The 14,525-nt window shown below is 45.0% G+C and overlaps 1 protein-coding gene across 8 annotated transcripts in view, besides 5 other annotated features; it reads left to right on the forward strand.

The window, feature by feature from the left end:
• Positions 327–386: a silencer, noted in NCBI's record as "silent region_17677". NCBI's record gives its function as "represses an Ori minimal core promoter by ATAC-STARR-seq in GM12878 lymphoblastoid cells {active_cell/tissue: GM12878}" and the evidence as "EXISTENCE:reporter gene assay evidence [ECO:0000049][PMID:35858748]".
• Positions 567–861: a silencer, noted in NCBI's record as "tiled region #13910; K562 Repressive non-DNase unmatched - State 20:ReprD". NCBI's record gives its function as "represses a minimal TATA promoter and a strong SV40 promoter by Sharpr-MPRA in K562 cells {active_cell/tissue: K562}" and the evidence as "EXISTENCE:reporter gene assay evidence [ECO:0000049][PMID:27701403]".
• Positions 567–1,136: a biological region, named in NCBI's record as "Sharpr-MPRA regulatory region 13910".
• Positions 657–1,136: a silencer, noted in NCBI's record as "silent region_17678". NCBI's record gives its function as "represses an Ori minimal core promoter by ATAC-STARR-seq in GM12878 lymphoblastoid cells {active_cell/tissue: GM12878}" and the evidence as "EXISTENCE:reporter gene assay evidence [ECO:0000049][PMID:35858748]".
• PLEKHG1 (pleckstrin homology and RhoGEF domain containing G1) overlaps positions 839–14,525 on the forward strand; it is a 243,781-nt gene continuing 230,094 nt past the window's right edge. For all 8 annotated transcript variants that reach the window (NR_138138.2, NR_138139.2, NR_138136.2 and 5 more), the window contains exon 1: positions 839–971. Coding sequence is in view for 1 of the 8 variants with exons in the window: in NM_001329799.2 (NP_001316728.1) it covers positions 950–971 (22 nt within the window). In the remaining 7 variants the exon portion in view is untranslated. The remainder of the gene's footprint in view (positions 972–14,525) is intronic.
• Positions 1,347–1,516: a silencer, noted in NCBI's record as "silent region_17679". NCBI's record gives its function as "represses an Ori minimal core promoter by ATAC-STARR-seq in GM12878 lymphoblastoid cells {active_cell/tissue: GM12878}" and the evidence as "EXISTENCE:reporter gene assay evidence [ECO:0000049][PMID:35858748]".

Below are 14,525 nucleotides of genomic sequence, written 5' to 3' on the forward strand. Positions count from 1 at the left end.
TTACAGATGAGGAAACAGACAGAACACAGAGAGGTTAAAGCGTTCTCTCAAGGCCACACAGCTAGCAAGTGGTAAGGCTGAAGGTCTGTTAACAACTAAGAGTGCAATCAAATCCACCACCAAACCTAAGGGGGTCCACAGGCGACCCTGATACGTCCGACTTTGGCGGGAGATTAGTGTTAAGAAATGACTTCACATGCCTTTAACTGTCGCTGCAGGCACCTTTGATTGGAGTCATAACTTTACTGCAGAGCCGGTGCCTTTAAACATCTCTCTGGCTGTCACCGGTTATTCTTTACCTCCGTTTCCACTTTTACTTTCTCTAGGCAAAGGTCGTTTGGTGCTTTAACCGAGGTGATTAGGGTAATGACGCCTGAAGAACACCGGGCTTCCCCCTCTTTTCACTTGATTACCGGCAAAGCTTCTATGTAAAACTAGAATGTTCACTAAAACCATGATTTTGGGTATTATTTTAAAGGACTCACATAGGAAATTATTACGTCCAAAGGAAAGCTAAACCTGAAGAGCTAGGAAAATGAAAAAAAGTGATGTGTCTGCGAAAACAGTAGCAGAATTAAAAAAAAAAAAAACTTTATTCCCCCCGAAGCTGTAATTTGACTGTTCTCTTTGGCAAGGCTCCAGAGACAAGGCCAAGTGCCTAATTTCTCTTTCTCTTCGCCCCCCTCCTCTCCACCTTTTTCACCCTCAGGGCAGAGGGGAGGCGGGACGAGCGATCCACTGCTCCGGCCGCCGAAGCTGGCGTCTGGGCGCGGGGAGGGGCGGGCCGGGGCGCGGCCGAGCAGTGGGGCCGAGCCCGAGGAAGAGGAAGTCGGAGCCCGAGCCTGAGCCCGAGCCCGAGCCCGACGGCGGCTGCAGGGCGCTCCGGCAGCCCGAGCCGGCGCAGCGCAGCCCGCACCCTCCCCGCCCGACCTGCGAGCGCCGCCCGGGCATGCGAAGCCGTCCCTCCCCGGGTAAGCGCCGGTCGGGCCCGGACGCCCTGGGGACTTTTCCAGGGATGGGAGGGGGGACCCGGGGACCTCCGGCGGGAGCCCCACATCCGCAGGTGGGGCCGGGCGGAGCGTGGTACCCGGGCCCCGCCGGCCCCCTGCGCGCCCCTCCGCAGTGGGGACGGAGGGCCTTGGGGGGCGCCGAGCGGTGGGGACAGAGGGCGCCGGGGGCACCGCGCGGTGGGGACGGAGGGCGCTGGGGGGCGCCGCGTCTCGGGGGTCGGAGTCGGGTCGGGGATGCTGCCCGCCGCCGCCCCGCTTGGGGTTCCGCGCCCCCAAGTTCCCGGTGCTCCCGCCCCTCGCCCCAGCGGCTGCAACATCAGCGCGCAGAGGAGTTTCTGCGAGCACCCGGGAGTTGTAGCCACCGCTTCCCCACCCCCGACTCAGCAGGACAGCCCCAGAACGGGACCCCACAGCCAGTCAGCTGGGTCAGCTCCCCAGCAGCGAAGCCGGGAGCCCGAGGACCCGGGGACGCGCGGTGGGGGCGGCGGCCGAGCTGCTGCGGCGCTCAGGGCTTGGGGGCGCCCCCGTTCTGCAGATGCGCTTTTCAGGGGGTGGGGAGTCAAGAGCCTGTGGCTCTTCCGTCACGGGGTAAACGGTAACACCTGGGCGGCCGCGACTCTGCGAGCGTTCTGGCCTCGGCGGGCGGCGGGGAACCGCAGTGATGCCCGAGCTCGCCCCTTTTGTGTCCTCGCGGTGAGCCCCGTTCCGAAGCCGGAAGCTTGGGAACGCTCTAACTGGGAGAACGGCGCTCGGCTGGTCAATTCATTCCGCTCCTCGGAAACAATGAGCTGGATCCTTGACTTGAATGTGCTGGCGGAGCGGGGTTTGTAAGCCGGCGTTTCATCCAGCTCTGGTCCTCAAGGCGCCCTTTGTACCACCCGCAGGTGGCCGAGGCTACTGCACGTATTTTCGAAATCACCGAGTGTGGGTGTTTGGGGCAGGTATCACCCCGCGAGGACCATCTCAGACTGAGAGTTGGTTTAGGAGTTTTGAACAGATTGGATACAGAACTATATTGTGTTTTGTATTTAGACCGGGGGAAAGACTAGAATGTTAACTCTAGGGTCCAGTTTGTCATCTAACAGAATTCCGGGCTTGGGTAGGTCCTGTAATGCGGTACAATAACAACCAGGTGTTAAAACCGGCATCTTCTGGATTCTCAGATTCTGTAGACAGCATACTTCTAAAAAATGTAGAGATTTTGGATTTTGATTAAATTGCTGTTAAAAACATTTCCAAGCCCATCATTTCAGGAGATCAGAAAATTTTCGAACTTTAATTTTGCCCTGTGGGACCCTGGGCAAGATACTTGCCTCTGGTCGTCTTGGCTGCCTCCCTTATAAAGCAGTGCACACGAACCAGATAGCTTCTACGGCCTCCTGCTCATTCCTCATCCCCCTCCCAAACCCCTACCCCCTGTAATTTGGTCTACAATATTTAAGACAGAGAGAAAAGTAACGGGTTGATGTTTGACTCTCTCAGCATTTTGAGTCTGGCTTCCCAATTCCTGACTTGACTTTTTGTCTCATTTGAGGTCCCAATTCTAAGCCACCAAACCACCTGACTAAAGAAACTTTTTTCTTCAGAGTGCTCCCACCTCCCTGGCTTCATCCTCAAATAGGTCATCAGTAGCAGTCCACAGTCAACAGCAATGGCTGCACGACCTTCCCCATCCTTGTGTAGCAGCCCCCCAAGTCCTCTGCTAAAGGGCAAAGCAAAGTGAGAAACAGTTACCTGGCAATCAGATGCCAGATAACTGCCCCGATTCTGCTCGTCCTTGGTGGCATTTTCCTGCTTCCCCTACTCTAAATGGGCACCCTGAATTAGGGGCACCAGCTTCCTTCAATGCCTTTAATATAGGTGACTGTCACCGAATACAGGCTTAAATATTTCAGTGGGGGATTCAGGCTGTAGTTCAAAGAAGTTAAATGATCATTTTTAAAACAATAGGAAGTGGCAACATAATTTTTCAAAACCAAGAATAACCAGTCCTATGTTGTGTTCCCCCTTTGCGGATATGATTTTTCAGTGATTTAATTAAGATCGAATGGTTCATAGTCTGTCCCATAAATATGGGAAATGCTTGAGTAGCACTAAATCTCTTGAGCCCTTCGTCAACCAAAAGCAATTCCTGAAGCTATTATCTTAATGGCGGCCGTTCACTTTTTTGCAGATTTCTTTTCCTCTCCACTCCTTTCATTGCTGGTGGTTGGTCTTTCAAGCAGTTGTCATCTTTTAATCCTCCTGCAGCATGATTAGGTCCCTGGAATATTAAACCCAGAAGGGCTCTTGGATGACCTAGTCCAGCCCTACATCTTAAAGATTTAGGAAGTCTGGTTAAGATCCAGTGATCTAGAATTAGCCTACTTGTGTGATGCTCACATCTACGTCTCTGTAGCTTTGAGACCTTCACTTCTTTAAGGAAATTACTTAGATATGGATTATTTCATAACCAGGAAAAGTAAAAATCATAGTTGGTGTCTCTCGGTTTTCTCACCTTTCCTCATTTTCACACCTTTCCTCCTTTCTTCTCCGCCCTTGTCTCAAGTTATGCCAAGGATTAAATGAAATGATTCGTATCAGTGTTTGGCACATATGGTGTGCTTTGAAGATGATTGTTGTTGATAAACCAAGTCCCAGGAGTGTATGATTTTGCAGAAGTTTATACATAGCTCTGGACTGTCAGAACTGTGATTTAACCAAGGTTCTCTTCTCTCTCCCCTGCCCCTCTTGAACTGCACTGCCTAAGAAATGTTGGTTGCATGGAGACATATTTTTAATTAAATGTAATGGTTCAGTCTTTAAGAAAAAATTATAGATCGAGACCATCCTGGCTAACACGGTGAAACCCCGTCTCTACTAAAAATACAAAAAATTAGCCGGGCGAGGTGGCGGGCACCTGTAGTCCCAGCTACTCAAAAGGCTGAGGCAGGAGAATGGCGTGAACCCCGGGGGGCGGAGCCTGCAGTGAGCCGAGATCGCGCCACTGCACTCCAACCTGGGCGACAGCGAGACTCCGTCTCAAAAAAAAAAAAAATAAAAAAAAAGAAAAGAAAAAATTATAATCCCTTGTCTCTTTTGACTTAGGAAAAATATGGTTTCTAATGCGAAATGTTGGTGTATTCAGGCAGGGATGGGAAGGAAAACATTTTTTAGACAAAGGGTCTGTAAGCAACCTCATGCTTGTGTGTGGCAAGGCATCTCAGATATTAATGTTTCATCACAGGCTTGCATCAATCTTGCTTGATAAAATTAAAAGCTGATCCCAATCCATTCGGTCATTCAGAGTCACGGGCAGTCTGTGCCAAGTAGAATTTACTGACAGAAGAGTCAGCTTTCAAGTGATTAAGAGATGACTACATCTTCAGCTTTATATTGTCTATGCTGATGAAAAGCAATAAATGCTTTAGCTGAGAAGACAGAAGTATATGGCTAATCACCTAGCGATGGGGCCCAGGTTTGCTGTGGAATACCTGGGCCATAGCGTATCTAATGCTGCAAAACAGCTTCAGGTATGCCTGGGTGATTTCCAGTCCAGTGATTAGGAGTTGACTGTGTATCTAGAATAGTCTTCATGTTTGAGGCTGAGTATCTTTTCAATATGTAAACCTAAGGTTAAAAAAAACAAAAAACAAAACCAAAAACACTTTTTCTGATGAGATACAAGCCAAAGTAAAAATTTCCACATCTAAACATCCTTTGGTAAATATTGAATTACCGTTTGATGGAAAGCTAAATCCTGCTGGATTCGTGGATCCGCAAATCCATAACTCTCCTCTTCTTTTCCCCTCCCTTCGTGGTCCTAGAGGGAAGGCAATTTGAAGAGTGTTAATGGTAGGCTAAGTTTTTTAAAAATTCCATCTACACCCACTTGTAATAACCTGATGGGAGGAGAGTCAGGGCTTTCACTCGGTCTTTAATTAAGAAAGTTGTTTTGGTAAGCTTTAAATACCAGGGTGTTATGGAGGCCTCTTAGCACCAGCACTAGGAAGGGCAAACCCTTTGCCATTATAGCATTTGGCCAAAAGCTAGCAAGCCCATTTATGTATAAGAAGGAAATGTTTTTAAATCATCAAAGAAAAATTTAAGATAAGCATGAGTCTAATAACAGCTAAAACTTTAGTATTCTCATAAGAGGAATTATTAATCCATAAATCATCATAGTATTAAATGAGCTCTAATATTTGAAGTGGTGAATAGATCTAGTTCTCTGGGTCTAGTCACATTGAGCACCAATTTAAATGGCCTGTGACTGTCTAGACATTGAAAAGACACGTAAAGTCCTAGGTGAGGGGATGGCAAGTCTTTTCCTGTAAAAATCCAGGTAGCATTTTAGGCTCCACATGTCTCTGTCATATACTGTTTGATTTGAGATGAGGGTTATTTGTTTACAACCCTTTAAAAATGTAAAAACCAATCTTTGCTCACAGGCCATACAAAAACAGGCTGGATGTAGCCTGCAGCTATAGTTTGCTGGCTCTGTTTTAAATGAACTATTCTGTTTTGTAGTGTCCTTCCGTATTTTCGTTGAGACCCAAGATGACAAGTTTCATTGGCTCTATCTATGTTGACTCATCATAGACGGACTTATAATCAAGATCATTTCGTCACTCGGTTTCCTAGTCACCTTTTTATATTTTATCTTTGCCCTGGGGCTAGAAGTCTCTGTTAAGCATAGCCATCAGTTGACATAGAAATGGCAGTGCCAGACGTCAACATTCTACTTTGAGTTAGATGCTGAATGGGGGAGAGAAGTTGGACTGGATTGGGATAAAGTCCATGGTTGACACAGACCACAGATAACTCCTATGAAATGAGGCCCAAACCTCTGAGCAAGGCACCCACAGCCCTTGTATCTACTCTTCTCCTGATACCTCTTCATGTATACCCTGTGTCCTTGCCATTCAAGTAACTTGCAGAGCCCTGGGTGGGCCGCACTCTCTCTCACCAGTGGTGGGGTCGTTCCACACAAAGTTGAAATATCTGTCTCTTCCCTGCAGCCCTTCCTCATTTATTGGACAGAGATGCCGTCACCTCCATCTCTATGTTTGCACAGGAGTTTATAAATGAAGCATTTAGAGGTCTAGAGAAATGTGGTGATTCCCCATTGGCAAATATTACCTTTCAAAAGTGGGGGAACAGTTGTATTCTTCTTTGTATAATAACTTCATCTTGCCTTACATCTCTAAACCAGCCAGAGAATCAAGCACAAAACAATTCCAGGGCCTTGGATGCGATACACAGTGTAGCAGAGTACATACGTGTATGGGCTTTGAAGTCAGGCTGAGCTGAGCTCTAGTTCTTTGTTTTCCCACTTACCTGCTGCAAGTTCCCCATCTGTAAAGTAGGGAGTAAGAATGACCTTTCAATTATTAGGAATAAATGGGATTTCCCTCTGTAAAGCATTTAGTTCAGAGTCTGACATGTAGTAATTGCTCGATAAATGGTAACTTTTATTCATTCCAGAGCGTTTATTGAGAACCTACTATGCCTAGGATAATTCCTGACCAATACAAGAGAGACAGTTTCCATGGAGATGTGATCGGTAAGGTGGTGGAGACTCAGAGTGATGGATGGGCTCCCTTTGATTGGTGGTCCAGGAAGCCTCTAGGAGGAGGAGGTGGCAACATTTAAACTGAGACCTTAATGATATTGATGAGTTCCTGTTTTATCAGATCTAAGATATCTTTGAAATATTTCAATTTTTAATGAAATATACAGTTTTAAAATGTTCCACTTTAAAATGTACCACAAAGAAAGAAAAACTACTGTCAATAAAATTGGCACCATCTACTGTAAGTTGCATCCATAAGTTGTGAAAAGTGTGTTCTAGCATCAGTGAAGTGTGTTCATTGTATTTGTGCTCAATAAATACCCATTGAATAAATGAGTGTTACTCTTTGATTGCATACAACATTCTGCTACCACACTGTGATTGAATTTCTTTCCTCTGTTTCTTAGCTCTGGGGTGTTGACTTAGACCTGAGAAAAATAATAATATAGTACATAAAAGTATTGCAAGCCATTTATGATCTAATGTATTTTTAAAAATAGTTTAAAACATTTACTTTGGTGAAACCTTCACTTTGATTGCCGAAGTGTGTCAGGGAATCCTGTTTACGTAAAATTGGCCTACACATAACTTGTGTAGGAGTGCAGTTGAGCAGCTCTTGCAGCCGGATAATTCCTTTTGGCAGCTGTCTGCAGAGATGTGTGAAACCTTAATGCACATAAATGCCATCTGAAGGGCAACAAAGGCATTAGCTCCAGCCTTCCTTCTGTTTTATAGATTTAATTTAACATAAATACTCCTTCTCTCCTCCCTATCCCACGAGCTGAGGTCCCTCTGACCCAGTAGGTCCTTTGGAACAGTGAAATGGAGGAGGCTCCATTTAGATCCAACCCCTTCCCAGCTCTGGCAAGCCTCCAGCTTTTCACACTCCAAGCAGGGTTCTCTTCCAATATTTCCCCATCCTCCTCCCTGTTTAGAGAGTAAAATACTGCTGAAGTCTTTGCTTTTTCTGACCACCCTCTAAACTTGAATCCTAGTCAAGACCTGTTTTCTGCGCTCACTTTAGAGCCTGTTGACCCTCTCTAGCTTTTCTCTTCGTATCCAAGTTCCCTTTAACTCCTCAGTTTCTGGATGATTCAGTGGAAGTCTTGACAAAACTTGGCTATTTCTGGCTGTAATCAAGTATGCATTCATGCTGTTTTGATTTTCAGTTCAACATGTCACCCAAGCCCCTGGCACTCAGCAGCACTCAGGGGCATGCTGGCTCACATGGTGATTGGGTCCTTCTGGAATCTGTTCCTTTGGGGCATTCTTCAGCTCCTCCCACCCTCTCCCAACTCTGCTAGGGAAGCCAGAGCAAAGCCCCTTCCTGCACCCTGTCTGACAGGGAGGGTCAGTCAGCACTTGGCCAAGAAAGAAGGAAGCAAAGCATGGACCCGTTTTCCTTCCTGAGCTACCCCCTTCCCTTCCCTCCAACTTCTCGTGTGATTAAAGGCCCTTGTGTTTTAAGAATTCTTCAGAACGGACACCAACTCTGGCTGAAATTGGAGTCTTTGGAAACAAGTAGAAGCAAAGGAGAAGTCATTTGTAAGCATTCCAGGGATGCTGGACCATGGTCCAGCCTTAGCCAGGATGATTTAAGGCCGTCTCTGACCTGTGACTAGCAAGCTGATTGCAGCAGAGGGAGAATGGGGAAGAGGTGAGGACCCATGGAAGAGCTGGTGAGGCTGATCCCCAGCCATCACAGAGCTCAGCTTTCCATGGCTGTGTGATTACAGACAGGCCTCAAACACTGACATCTGCACTTCTCTGATGTGCTGCAGAGAGAGGAAAAGCTGTAATCTGAGGCATAAATATACGATCCTGTGTGTTCCCTCTAACCATGTAACCTGCTATTAGTTTAAGCATCTATGTTGTGCTAAAGTATTAGAGCTGCATCAAAGGGGAGGATATGGTTGTTCTGAAACAGCTTACAGTTTCAGTATTCAGATGTCTCCCACTTTTTAAAATTGGAAACAAGTAAAGGTGAACGATGCCGTGTGAAGGTCAGAGTCAAAGATCTGGGATTACTGAGTGGGTGGTAGGGGTGATATTAGAGGAGATGCAGCCTTTAGAGGTTTATTTTTTAAAGGAAAAGCGTTTCCTTACATTATGCCTTTCCCAACATGTGTGAGAGTTTTTAGGGAATTTCTTGATGAGGAATAGCGAGGGTGGGGCTGCCAGGGTAATGAGATGGTCAGGGAGCAGATGGGAAATGGGTGCATGGATGGGCTGATTAGTACTGGCTCTCTTGAGGAAAGCACTTTGGGAAATATTTGGAAGCTTTGGGAACATAGTTCATGGAGGAAAACCTTGGTGGTCTTGGCTTTTCTCCATTTTTTTTTGTAGCTGTCTATATGAGATAAATGCTATTTCCCCCTTTGACAATTGTTTAGATTCAACTCAAAGGAACATCATTTCATCACAATACTTAGTGATATCTGACCTTGAAGCTGAAACAGCAAGGAAAGAAATGTGAAGATAATGATTTTGTACACATGGAACCCTCATGGTCCACAGGTGTGTCCCATCCCAATGAAGCATTACCTTTAGCCACTTAGAATTCAGATGGCTTCTAAAAAGCATCCTTATTATGAAACACTCTTATTTTTCTTTGTTTCTTTTTAGAACTTATCTGAAAATGGAAGCAAATATTATGAAGTTCTGAGAACTGAGCTGTGATGAGTTCTATCACAGCAATGACTTTTGAAATCCAGAAAGCCCCTGAGGAACAGAAGGAGACTGGTTTTGCCCTATGATCTGTCATGTATCAGAATGTGATACTGTCTAATACTATAGTTTAAGACATTTCTAACTAGGGAGTGAACAGGTATTTATTCTTCTTACAGAAATAAAGAAGAGAATACATTTCTGTACTGGCTAAAGTCATAACAGCTAGCAATAACTATTCTAAAAATCTCCCTGGTTTTGGATTACTAATATATGCAGAAGATATGCTTGGCAAATGTTCAGAAACTATATGCCATATCTTTAATGAGAAAATTATTACTCGATGCTTCAATATGCATAATACAGACAGCAATTGAATCTAATATTTTCTTTATTTGCTTACCTATTATAGTACTAGTTTAAGTTGGTTTTGGGGATATTATGAAAAAAACTGTGTGCATGGAAAAGATAAGTTTGTTTTTCTAAGATCTGAATACTCAGTTGAAATGCGGGAATAGTGTAGAAATTGGGCAGTCTGTATGTTATTTGGAAGTTACTTGAAAATGCCTTCTAAAATGGGGATAAGATGATACAGTAAAGACGTTATGAGGTTTAACTGCATAATATATGTATGGCATCTAGTACAAAGGAAGCCTTTGATAAATAGTGGGTATCTTATTGTGTTTACTGGTTGTCACACATAAGTTTTATTCTGTTACTAGATGGCTGGAATAATAAACCAACATGAAAATAACTGGGGAAAACAGTCTAGGTGTTAGAAGAAGGGCGTTAAGTTTCCTAAGGCAAAAGTCAATGGTGAGAGGGGGCAAAGGGAACACATTTTTGCTTGACTGTAGTAGAGACCCAATGTTCATTACACTTGGGAATTGAGATTAGAATTAGTTTATTCAACACATGTCCCTTTCTAAGTTCTGGAGATTCAATGTTGAACAAAACAGACCAAACCTAGAATGAAGAGGAAACCCTACATAAGACAAGTACTTTGAAGAAAATTACACAGGGAAATGGGGTGGGGCATTGTATTTGCTTGGGTGGTCAGAAAGGCCTATCTGGAGAAGTAACATTTCAGCCAAGGTTTAAATCATAAGGAGTGATCTTGAGAAGATCCGAGGGAATAATATGCTAGACTGGGGAAGAGAGTTAAGTAGGGCAGGCCTTAGAGAGAAATAAGCTCCATGAGTTCTAGAAAAAGCAAGGCAGCCAGTGTGTGTGTGTGGAGGAGGAGCAGTAAGCAGGAGATGAGGTGGGAGAAGCAGGCATGGCTGGGTTATGCAGGTCTTTATAACATCAAAGACCTTTGCCACAGCTTGGCAGTGTGATGCAAAGCTACGGGAGGATTTGAAGCAGGGGAGTAACATAACCTGATGGATGCACAATTACCACTCTGCCTGCTGCGTAGGAAAAGAGCTGTCATGGAAAGTTCTGGAAGCAGGTGGAGCTGTTGGGAATCCATGCAGTGGTACAGAGAAGGAGGATGGTAGCAGAGGAGGTGGTGAAAAATGCATTGGTTCAGAACTGGCATGTCGGCCAAGACAAGGCAGCCACAGGAGAAAGAACGTGTGGGGCTTGGACAGCATAGCTACTGTTGCTGGCTCTGCCCCACCTGTTCACGGTCGCCGTTTCCCACGTCCAGCATCCTCTCTCCTTTAGTTCCCCAAGAAAAGTACCCAAAGCGGCTCATGGCTCCAGGTGATGCTGTGACGCGATGCTGGGTGAACTCCCCTCACCACAAGCACCTACGAAGCAGGTATGCCTTCCTTTCAGCTCCCTGGCATCCTGGGTACCTCTATTTTAGCTCTTTCCTTCTTTCCTTCTTTCTTTCTTTTTTTCTCTCACTCTGTCACCCAGGCTGGAGTGCAGTGGTGCGATCTCAGCTCACTGCAACGTCTGCCTCCTGGGTTCAAGCGATTTTCCTGCCTCAGCCTCCCGAGTAGCTGGGATTACAGGCACCTGCCACCATGCTTGGCTAATTTTTGTATTTTTAGTGGAGATGGGGTTTCACCATATTGGCCAGGCTGGTCCCGAACTCCCGACCTTAAGTGATCCACCTGCTTCGGCCTCCCGAAGTGTTGGGATTACAGGTGTGAGCCACTGCATCTGACCTATTCTAGCACTTTCTATGTGGTATTTTTGGTAACCATTTCGTTGTCCACCTTCCCTCACTAGACTACAAGCTCCTTGATAGCAAGCATTGAAACAAAATAATTTTTCTTTTTACTAGTTGAAATTAGCTTTAAGAAATTTAAGTTTTAAAAAATCACAAATTAATTGAGGAATAGCAATTCTGAGTAGGTAGCTAAATATTTAAATAGGAAAGAAGAGGAAGGAAAAAAAAGAGCAGGAAAAGGAAGGAAAGCAAAGAAAAACCCACTAGAGCAATCCAACAGAGCCCTGGGTTAACTCTTTAAAAAGGTTTCTTTAGAAATTGTTTTTGTTTGAATGATTTTCTGTAATGGGAGTCAAGTAACTCCATTGGTTTAAAGGTTTTATAGGTCTATAATAAATGTGGGGCTCTGTAATATGTATGTTTCTTCCCTTTCACTGGTTTATTGTAGAGTTGCAAACTCAACAGGGATTGTGTTTATTCTGGAACAGACACAGCTATCAGATAAATTGTAGAGGTAAGAAGTCTCCAATATTCCAAACCATTTGAGTGTTAGGCATTTCCAAATAGGATATCAGCCCTATTCCAAGCCTGCAAACGTACCTTCTGATATATGGGGAGGGCATCATAGACCTTTTGGTAAGGTGGGAATCACCTGGGCATATAGATCATGCCATACTCATCCTTCTGTTCCCACTAGAGAGCATGGTAACTGGCACACCATTGACCTTTAATCAGTTGTTTGCCTTGAATTTTGGTCCACTTCTTTATGTCTACTGTATAGTGGAATTTGCAGATCTGATGTTCAATGCTAATTGTGTGGGTTCTGAATGAAAACCTTACTTCTGGTTTACCAGCTTAGAAATGAAAAAACAAGTCTGAGAAGTCTGTGTTTGTTATTCTCATATTCAGAATGTAGCACTCTTGTTGGCAAAAAGACCCAAAACAAGCATACAAACAAAAAAATTAGCTAAACTGCATTGTAGAATGTTAAGTGGTACAACAATTGCTCTGTGATTGTAAATCCAGTTTATTGAGACAGATCTCCAAAGAGCCCCTTCCTATTAAAAAGGGATGGATTCTGATGGCTTACTTTTAGTTGCCGTGCCTATTAGAAAATAAATGGTGGCCGGGCGAGGTGGCTCACGCCTGTAATCCCAACACTTTGGGAGGCCGAGGCAGGTGGATCACCTGAGGTCAGGAGTTCAAGACCAGCCTGGCCAACATGGTGAAACCCTGTCTGTATTAAAAATACAAAAATTAGCCGGGCATGGTGGTGGGTGCCTGTAGTCCCAGCTACTTGGGAGGCTAAGGCAGGAGAGTCGCTTCAACTCGGTAGGCGGAGGTTGCAGTGAGTGGAAATTGCACCACTGCACTCCAGCCTGGGTGACAGAGTGAGACTCCATCTCAAAAAAAAAAAAAAAAGAAAGAAAATAATGACATTTCTCATAGAATATGCTGATTTAACATTTCTGCTCAAATAGTGAGGCTCTATTGTGTTTCAAAATAAGTCAAGAGAAAAACTCTGAAATGGGGTTGGGGATTTATCTTTTTGGCTTTTGCACAATTGACTCAAAGTCACCACCCATAACTGGACTCATAATCTCTATTTCCAGACCTACTTTCAGCTTCCTGGTGTTGTTCCCCCCCCCCCCCCCTTTTCTAGTTCTTAGTTAATAGCACCACAATTCAGTGGTCACAGCAAGCCATTTTCCTTCCCTTTCCTGCCTTGTCCAGTCAGTTAGCAATAACTGCTTGAATAGTTCTCAATCTATGTTCACTTATTCAAGTCCCCTTCCCAGCCTTTTAGACTCTTATCTCTTGCCTAGACTTTTGGAAGAACTGCGAAGCCAGTGTTGATTGATATATTAATAACTAGAACACGAACCTGACATTGAATGTGTGTTTTTTTGTGGGGTTTTGTTTGTTTGTTTTGTTTTGTTTTTGAGACAGAGTCTCTCTCTCTGTTGCCCAGGCTGGAGTGCAGTGGCATGATCTCGGTTCCTTGTAACCTCTGCCTCCCGGATTCCGGCAATTCTCCTGCCTCAGCCTCCCGAATAGCTGGGATTACAGGCGCCTGCCATCACACTTGGCTAATTTTTGTGTTTTTAGTAGAGACGGGGTTTTGCCATGTTGTCCAGGCTGGTCTCAAACTCCTGACCTCAGGTGATTCACCCGCCTCAACTTCCCAAAGTGTTGGGATTACAGGTTTGAGCCACCACGCCCAGCCTGAATGTGTTTTAATGAAGACTTCTTCTAACGGTTCAACCCAAAGGGAAGGGTGAGGGTGCAATTTAAGGCAGATATCAAAGTCCCTTTAGGGCTTCCCTGGTCACATTTGTTTCTCATACCTCAGGTCCAATCCATAGAAAACCTCATAGGCTTTACCTCCAGCATCCAGATTTATATAACTTCTCATGGTCCTTGATCCATGCTCCCTCTTGGTCCAGTCCACTGTCTTTTCCTGGTTATTGCAGTAGGCTCCTAACTGGTCTCCTTGCTTAGACCTCGCCTTCTACCAGCCAGAGCAATCGTTTCATATGTCGGTTAGCTCAATCCACTCTACTAGTTTCTCATCTCAGAGTCAGAAGCAAGTCCATGGGGTAGCCTGTGAGACCCTCCCTAGTCTGGCCCCTGCTCTGCTGTCTTGCTCTTTCTGATCTCATCTCCTGCTCCTCTCCTGATACTCACTCTGCATCAGCCCACTGGCCTCTCTGTGGTTCCTGAGTACTCCAAACAAGCCCCAGCATCAGAGTGTTCTTATTACCTCTACCTGGAATGTTCTTTCCCAGATATCAGAGTCTTGCTGTCTCACTTCTTTCAGTTCCCTGCCCAGGTGTCCCCTTATCAAAGAAGTCCTACTGACCATACTTTATAACATGCAAACGCCTGCACCTTGCAAGTCAGATCCTTCTTACCCCACTCATTTTTATGTATAGCATGTATCAACACCTAACCTAGGATACATCTGCTTAGTGAAAACAGAGACTTTGTGTGGCTATGATATTTCCAGTGCCTTAAAAGAGTGCCCAGTGCAGAGAAATGCTGAAACACTTGTTGACTAAATAAACATCACTTTGGCAATTGCCCTCTCATGCCTCTGAGTACGTTCTGATTGTCTGATTCTGTGATACCAAGTTCTAGAACAGAGAGCAGCAGCCTAAGTGCT

The sequence above is a fragment of the Homo sapiens genome, chromosome 6 (assembly GCF_000001405.40).
Source record: "Homo sapiens chromosome 6, GRCh38.p14 Primary Assembly".
Taxonomy (NCBI): Eukaryota; Metazoa; Chordata; class Mammalia; order Primates; family Hominidae; genus Homo; species Homo sapiens.